Source organism: Homo sapiens, chromosome 2, assembly GCF_000001405.40.
Source record: "Homo sapiens chromosome 2, GRCh38.p14 Primary Assembly".
NCBI lineage: Eukaryota > Metazoa > Chordata > Mammalia > Primates > Hominidae > Homo > Homo sapiens.
The window spans coordinates 155,426,073-155,435,488 of NC_000002.12; positions in this window are offsets into that span (position 1 = coordinate 155,426,073).

Here is a 9,416-nt window from a genome sequence, read left to right on the forward strand (position 1 = left end):
TTCCATTGAGTTCATCCTATGTGTCTCGATATCTTCACCCACCTCTCTATCTGATGAATGATATTCCTGAATTATGTTTTGCTTCTTGCTGTACCAGTCAGCGGCATCAATTTGGAAATCCTAGAAAATTAAAATATCATGTCCTACAATTCTTATTTATGCTATAAGTTAAATGTTCTCTGGGATCAGACATATGACCAGTGTCTAAAAATTTATCCCATACATTTCTATATCATTATTTTATGTTTTCTTTTTATACCTCTTACCACTTTTCCCCTCTAACCATCATAGCCACCTTTAACTCCCCGAAATGTGCTATTGGCTTATCTACTCCTACAATTGGGAAACTGATTCAGAGTAATAGCTTAAATTCAGCTAAATCCAACCTATAATCCTGCTCGGGCTTATGTTCATGTTACATTTTCCTACTTTCTTTATATTGCAGAAAGTCTCTTATAACCATTGAATCTTATAGCTAAATAAAACTAGCGGAGAGTTAGCCTACACACTTAATAAATAGCAATCACTAACATCTTTTGTGGTAGGCAGAATAATGACTACCCACCTCAAAGATTTCCACATCCAAATTCCCAGAACCTGTGACTATGCTAACTTTCTTTACAAAAGAGATATTACAGATGTGATTGAAAAGTTTTGAGATGGAGAGATTATCCTAGATTACCCAGGGCTGTTCAATGCAATCACAAGACTCTTGAAAAGAAAAGAAGGTAGGAGAGTCAGAGTCAGAAAAGAAGACAAAAGTAAAGGGGTGTGTGTGTGGATGTGTGTGTGTGTGTGTGTGTGTGTGTGTGAGAGAGAGAGAGAGAGAGAGAGAAAGAGAGAGAGATTTGAAGATGGAACTTTTGGAGAGGAAATAATTCTTCTCTACCCGTTCAGTGTCTCCAGCTGGGCTAGAGGTAACCTGACATAAAATAGATTAACAGGAGAAAAGCATACAAGTTTTAATAAATTTTTACATGTACTTGAAAGCCTTCACAACAGAATGAATACCTGAAAAAGTGATTAGAGCATAAAGTTTTTATAACTTTTAGATAAATGATAAGTTTATGAAGAAATAAGAGGACAAAGGAGTTGTGGTGAAGGGTAGTGAATTATGAGGAATTGGCTAGGAGATGTGTGAAGTGATGGGGCTAGGGTAAGATCAGGGTTATTTTAGTAAGTGTGTTTATATACATCCACTTCAGCCTCAACCCTCAGTCTTTGGTGATTGCATGGTCTCTTCTCAGTACGCCTTTCTAATGGGAAGTTTTATGGCCTGTTCTTAGGCATAAAGAAAGAGATCAAAGAGCCTGTCCCGTATCTACTGTTTCTCAAGTGACTTCAGCTAAAAATCAAAATGCCAAAACAGCACATTTTGGGATGGCATGTCCTTAGCTCTTCACTACCTTACACTGCCAGCCTTGAAGTTGGAGGACAAGGTCATGAGTCAAGGAATGCAAGGAGGCTCTAGAAGCTGGAAAATGTAAGGAAACAAATTTTCTCCCACTATCTCCAGAAGGAACACAGCCCTGCCATTACTGGATGCTCTTTTAAGCCACCAAGTTTGTGGTCGTTTGTTAGAGCTGTAATAAGAAACTGATACTGTGGTCAAAAATTTGAACACATGTAGTAATAAGAAATCACCATTTTCTAAAGCAGTGTGTTCCATTATGTCTACATTTACAGGAAATTATTTAAATTGAGCTGAATTCTGATGTAAATGTTAAACTTTTTCCTAAATTGGCAACTACTCACTTGATGTCATTAACTTCACACCCAATGCCTGCACCTTTCCAGAGTGCTGCTCTTTTGTGTGTCTTACCATTGTTTCCTCAGCCTTCCAATTCAAAACAAAACAAAACAAAAACTTCTATGTTTGTAATTTTTTCTTGTAAGAATCATGGTGTTCTATATATCCAATGTTCGGTTTTTTCTTTGTTTCCATTTCCACTGTCCTGGTGCAAGCATCTTCCTTAGGCTATGTCACTACACTAATCTCTGAACTCTTTGCCTTGTCTTTAGTCTGAGGCTTCTCCACAATTCAGTCTATGTGCTGCTGCCAGGAATATCTTAAGTCACTAATTGCAAGTCATTACCTTTCTTAAAGCATATTTTCTCTGTTGCAAGATCCCCATTGCTTATAAGATATTAAGCTTTTCTACCTAACTCTAGGGTGCCTGTGTAATGTCCCCCAGTGGGGCTGGCTTCACAGGCATGTGGTTTGTGCAGTGGGCAGAACCCCACACTTAGAAGGGACCCTTGCTTGCTTAATACTCTGCTGTCACTGTTTTGAAATTCTTAATTTTGGAAGAAACATCCAGCATTTTCATTTTGCACTGGGCCTCACAAATGATATAGCTTGTTCTGCCCCACAGTTTATCCATATTTTATTCTGTAATCCCATGTTAGTATCGCCTTATTTCAGGAAAGCAAGCATGCTTCTTGTCCATAGAATCTACCCTCTTTAGGTCAATTTTTGTATCTTAACTATTGCTATTTTCTTTCATGGAATTCTCTTGCTCCTTCATTTCATAGGCCCAGCTCAGGGACTATGATTGTGCCAATAATAAAGCATTGTACATAATCTGAGCTTTTTTTTTTTTATTTTTTATTTTTTGAGATGGAGTCTCACTCTGTTGCCCAGGTTGGAGTACAGTGGTGCAAGCTTGGCTCACTGCAACCTCTGCCTCCCAAGTTCAAGCGATTCTCCTGCCTCGGCCTCCTGGTTAGTTGGGATTACAGGCACACACCACCATGCCCAGCTAAATTTTGTAGTTTTAGTAGAGACGAGGTTTCATCATGTTGGCCAGGCTGGTTTCGAACTCCTGACGTCAGGTTATCTGCCCACCCAGGCCTCCCAAAGTGTTCGGATTACAGGTGTGAGCCACCACACCCAGCCTAGTCTGTGCTTCTTAAAAATCATTTCTTTTTCTTCCTCCTTACCTTCTTCTTCTCCTTCTAGTTAACCTTGTCAAAGAAACTTTATCTGCTTTCTTCCACTTTCACTAATTTTTCTTCTTTGGATTTATTTTACACTTGACTGTTCTGTAATTACTTCATAAACTTCATCAGTTTCTCCCTATCTATGTCATAGCTGTGTAAGGACAATAACCTTGTCTTGCCCTATTGTGTATGTACTCACCTCAGAGTGAGGATAGAACTCCTGTGTACAAGTAATGCTTATTTGCTAATGCCTTAACCATCTACCAAGATTTTTCTTGCCACTAAATCACCTAAATATAAGGGAAGCTGTTTATAGGAAAGGTGAGTCAGTAAGCCCAGGAAAGTCATTTACTTGGTTAACTCCCACAAAATTATATCAATTTCCTGATTTCCTCTGCATTAAAAAGAGTAAATAGAGTTTTTTAGCACCTGTCATTGAAACATAATGACATTTTTTTTTTTTTACTTGAAGCCATAAGGTTCCCCAAATCCACTTAAAGGTGAATTTGTATATTCTTTTGAATATGAGGAATTGCATTTATCTAATTGCCAAACATAACAAAATGAATGATAGGTTTATAGAAAAGTTTAAACATAGTGTATGTACATACATGTTCACACATACTACACAATTGTGGCTATGGCAACAAAATGTGGGGTTGGATAGTTCTTCTCCTCCATTTCCTTATAAAGTCAAATAATACTTCCCCTTTTGGATATCACTGTATGTGTGAAGTGTAAGATTTTTATCTGTAATTTGACCTCTATTGTAGCTTATAATAATGGAGGGCCATTGGTTAAATGGAGAATCAAACTTGAGAAGCTATGCTTTGGACAGAACTTACTTTCCAAAATAATGGATTTGGAGAAGAAAGCTGAAGGGTAACAAGATGGAGAAGCACCTAGGAATTTTCAATTATCTTTGGTGAATAGATTTTTCCTCTGATGCTAACCATTTCTATGTAAAAGACCTGCTCATGTAAGTGAGATTGAGTACAAGGCCAGGCTAGGCCATTTGGAAGGTAAGAAAATGAAAAGAAAGGGTCACAAAAGCTCAGAATGGCAAAACTACACAAAAGAAGAAAAATTTTAAAGTGGGTCTCCTATTTAAAGCACCTCTGTGCTTTAGAGAATGTTTTCATCTTATTATTTAAAAGAAGCATCACTATCTTATCCAAGTATACTCTCTTACAGGTTCAGTGTTTCTTATTTTGAAAGAACATAGTTGAAATCGATCTACAGTCAACTTGGTTGATTTATTTGTGGTGAATTTATGCATTTTCTGTGTGATTCAGCCATCTTTTAATTTTTAACCTGACCATTTAAAATGTCCTTTTATTTATTGTCATATTGATTTACACAATAATCGACTATTAAAAGACTTCCTAGAGAAAGAGAAGAGGCAGATTTTATATTATTAAAAATTTAGGAGACTACAAAACTTTTAAATATCAATGTTATCATTAAAAATAATGGTAAACAGAGACTGGCAGATGAATATAGTCAAAACATTGAATATAAACCCTAACATTTGGTGTTAGTAAAAATAAATTTAAATTTCTTTATAGTCAATGACGTTTTTTAATTAATGGAAAAAAAATCACTGTACTTGGAGTCAGAAAACCTGAATTTGGTTCTTGGATCTGATATCCAAATTGATGATCTTAAGTAAGTTTTCTTATAAGTCATCTTTATAACCATCTCATACCCTTTCTTTTGAAGATTAAAGACCCCTTGTAAAAGCTGTTGCTATTTTAAGTGTAAGGTGGTAGTATCAGGAATAGGAGTGAGCAAGAGGAATTTTTGTTAAAATGAGAGGAGTATTCAGATATTAAAACTGGTAAAATAAATTTCCATCTTTGGATGTGAACATACCTAAGTTCAAGTACAGGGTCTGCTACTCATTTGGGATTTTGAGAAACTGTGATAAAACTTTTCTATTTGGGGCCTGTAGCATTTCTCAATTCCTAAAATATGAAAGAAACTCACTAAAGGTGAGTAGCTGGGGGCTACTGTGGAAATTTTTCAGTCCGTTAGTATTGCTTACATTAGAATGCCTTTGCTGTCTTTAAAAAACAAGCAAACAAAAAACAAACCTTGGTTTTTATTTTATTTTATTTTATTTTTATTTTATTTTATTTTTATTTTGAGACAGAGTTTTGCTGTGTCACCCAGGCTGGAGTGCAATCTCGGTTCATTGCAACCTCTGCCTCCCAGGCTCACGCAATTCTCCTGCCTCACACTCCTGAGTAGCTGGGATTACCGACACCCACCACCACGCCTGTTTAACTTTTGTATTTTCAGTAGAGATAGGGTTTCACCATATTGGCCTGGCTGGTCTGGAACTCATGACCTCAACTGAACCGCCCACCTCGGCCTCCCAAAGTGCTGGGATTACAGGCGCAAGCCACTGCTTCCGGCCTTTTTTTTTTTTTTTTTTTTTTTTTTTTTTTGAGTTACAGGTTTTCCTAATGTTTCCAGAAAGTACAAGTTAAAACTAAGGAAAAAGAAGGGCTTTTAACAAGATTTTATACTTGAAGATGAAAGGTCAACCAGTCTTTTTTATTTCAGTACAATGAAAAACCCAGGAATATCAAAACAACGAGCATTATTCTCTGGTAAACACACTCACACCGGTTACCCTAATGCTCCCCAACAGTTAGAAGTTCCTTTTCTTCAAAAAATAAAAATCTCTGTTGCATGTACTCTTTCTTCCATTTTTGGTCTAAGCAGTTAATGCTTGGCTTTTGGGTGTCCTGCAATCAGAGATGTAGCTGGTAGGCGAAATGATCAGAGGTAGGAAATTGAGGAGAAGTGCTGCTACCGATAGTTTTGTTACCTCCCTCTTCTCACTCCCACACTTCTTGCTCTTGCCCTTCCAACTACATTGTGATTTTGCTCATTTTCTCTTAATTCCTCTTATTCTTATGTAAGTCATCTTTCTTTTGCTACTGTAGGTAATTCTTCTAATAAATGTATTAATTTTTAAATAGGAAAACTATTGAATTTGTGTGTTAATTTTATATTCAGCCATCTTGGTGAATTTTATCTTGAATATAATGGAACACAATCTCTGGCTTTGGTGCACAGCAACAACATTAAAACTCTGTACAAACAGAAATTATTTCAGTATGGTCACAAAAGGGATCTATGTTTCATTTAATGTTTTAAATTAAGAAATTTCAGATTTTATTTTACTTTTCTCTCACTTTGAGTTATCCAATGCCATCCCAAGTGACCCTCCGAGGTTGGTTATGCCAACATTCCTTATCCACTTCAAATTATTTTATGGTAGCAGCTCTTTGCTCACCTAGAATTTCACTACTAGTGAGTACTTGGTCTAAGGAAAGAATTATGAGGCTCCATTATCTCTCTGACATTATATAACAAGAACTTCCAATTTTTCCAAATCTCAATTCCTTTTAGCTACCTCAGCTTTTATTCAACACCAAATGCTGTACATTTCCCTGAAGTTCTATTTCCTACACCTAACTCGCTGGGACCGCTTTTATGAACCAAGATGATTTGCCAATAACAAAAACCAACTTAAGGAAAATTAAAACAAAAAGTAGATTTTATTGAAAAGATGCTAGGTATCTCAGAATCAAAGGGTCATCAAATAAACAGGCTATAGGAAACATGGTAGTCAGTTACGGAGATTCTGCCTTTCTTTCTTTCTTCCTTCTTTCGTTCTTTCTCCTTTTCTCTCTTTTAGGGGTTAAATATTCATTTTCATCATCCAAATGCTTTCCTCTTGTGCCATTGCGGTCATTAACCTCCTCCTGTTCCCCATTCCCTGACAAACACTCATCTACTTTCTAACTCTAGCTTTTCATTTTCTAGACGTTCGTATGAAGGCAGTCATACAGTATATAGACTCTTGTGTCTGGATTATTTCATTTAGCCTAATTCTTTTGAGATTCATCCATGTTGTTGCATCTATCAGTATTCCATTCATTTTAATTGCTGAGTAGTATTTCATTACATAAGTAAATCACATTTTGTTTTTCTAATATATTCAAATTTGGAATGTTTCCAGTTTTTAGTTATTCTGAGTAAAGCTATTAGGAACATTTGAGTACAGTATTTTTGTGGGTTATGTTTTCATTTTTCCTGGGTAAACATCTGAAAGTTGGTTGATGTATAGTAAGTTCATTATATTTTTACCTATATAACAAACTGCCATACTAATTACCAAAGGTGTTGTGTCATTTTGCACTCCAATGAGAAATATATGAAAATTCCACTTGTTTGACACTTGGTGTTGTTGGTCTTCTTTAATGTTAGCCATTCAAGTGTGTTCTAGTGGTATTTTCTTGTAGTTTTAGTTTGTATATCTCTAATGCTGAATAATGTTAAGCATCATTCGTGTGGCTATTAGTCATCTTTATATTTTCATTGGTGAAGTATCCAATCTTTGTTCTATTTTTTCAATGGTTTGTTAGTTTACATATCAAATGGTGAACATTTTTTACATATTCTAGTTAAAGGTCTTTTGACAGATTGTATGTTTTCCAAATATTTTCTTCCAAAATGTGGCTTGTCTTTTCATTTTTGTGTCTTTTTATTTGGATGAATTCCAACTTATCAGTCTCTTATTTTATTATCATGCTTTTTGAGTTCTCTTTAAAGATAATTTTGCCAACCTAAAGCCACTTAGCCTCTTTTTTATATTTCTTCCAGGAGGATTGCAGTTTTTGGTTTTGATATATTCACTTGATTTAATTTGGTGTATACACTGAGGTAAGGGTCACAGTTTATTTTTTAACAGAAATATAGAATTATTTTAACAACATATGTTGAAAATATTCATTACTTATTGAGTTACCTTTGTAGCTTTGTTGAAAATTGATTAATTTAATATACTGAGTTGATATCTAGATTCTCTATTTTGTCCCATTAAACGTTGTTGGAAGACAGTTCTTTATGGATTTTTATGAGTTTCTTGAATTTTTGCACTTTCTTAAAAAGAAGTACTGACAACTTTCATTCCAGACTATCTACAAATGTTGGTACAATGAATAGTCTTGAGAGACAGTGTTTTATTTTAGAACAAAAGGCTCTTTTTCGTTTTGTTTTGCTGTTCAGTATAACAAGATAATTTTCTCCCATCAAGGCAAACATTGCGTTGGTTTGCTTTCAGCCTTGTATGAAAAATTAAGATTCCTAAGTGTGAGTTTCCCTTGTTGTGGTACAAAAGCAGCACATTATCAGCATTCAATTATGCTCACCTGCCTCATCACCATGGGACTTGGAGTGCATGTTAAACCTCTGCAAATGTGAAACTCAAGATGCCTTCTGTGCTATGAAGGATAAGGCACCCCCTTTTTTTTTTTTTTTTGATAAAGGCTCATGTATTCTGTCAGCATCATTGAAACTGTGATAGGTTAACTTGTTTACTTGTAAACACAGTCAAAATTCAGATTTTTTGCAGTTCTAGACTATATATCTTATATGTATTATTTTGTTAATTACTATAGCATTATAAAAGCAATAGCATATAAGATGAATGTTCCAACTTTATTTTTCTTTTTAAAAATTATATAGGTTATTGTAGGTTCTTTGCATTTCCATGTGAATCTTAGAATCAGCTTGTTAAGTTTTACAAAAAAGTCTTACTTGTGTTTTGATTTGGATTTTGTTGAATCTGCACATAAATTTAGAGAGAACTGACATTTTAACAATAGTGAATCCTTCAATCCTTGAATATAGCATATCTACCATATATTTAAGTCTTTTGAAATTTATCAAGAGCATTTTGTAGATTTCAATGTATAAAATTTCAATATTTTGTTAATCTTACTCCTGTACATTTCATACTTTGATGCTATTGTAAATAATATATTTTTAAATTTGAATTTCCGATTTGTTTACTACTAGTACATATATAGATAATTGAGTTTTGTGTATTTACCTTGTATCCTGTTATCTTGCTTCATTTATAAAATTTTAGCAACTTTTCCATAGATTTCTTAAGATTTCCTAAGTGCATAGGCATGTCAAATGTGAATTAAGATAGTTTTGCTTCTTCTATTTCAAATTACATGCCTCTTATTTCTTTCTCTTATCTTATTCCATTGGCTAGGACTTGTAGAACAACATTAAATGGAAGTGGAGTGAGCAGACATCTGAACCTTGTTCCCAATAGTAGGGGGAAATGATTTGACATTTTACCATTAATTAAAATGTTAGCTTTAGATTTTTAATAGATGTATTTTATGGCTTTGAGGGATTTGCTTTTAAGTTTTTCTTAGTGTTCTGTATTATGTTGAATTTTATCAAATAGCTTTTTGCATCTATTGAAATTATTATATTAATTTTCCTTTGTAATATTTTAATATAATTTGAATTATAATAAGTGATTAAGTTTTACATTAACTTGGCAGGCATTCCTGTGAAGCACTCTAGTTCTTCTTGTTGCACTTTATTTTTCCATATGTCTGGATTTTTCCTGAAATATGCTAAGGAATTTT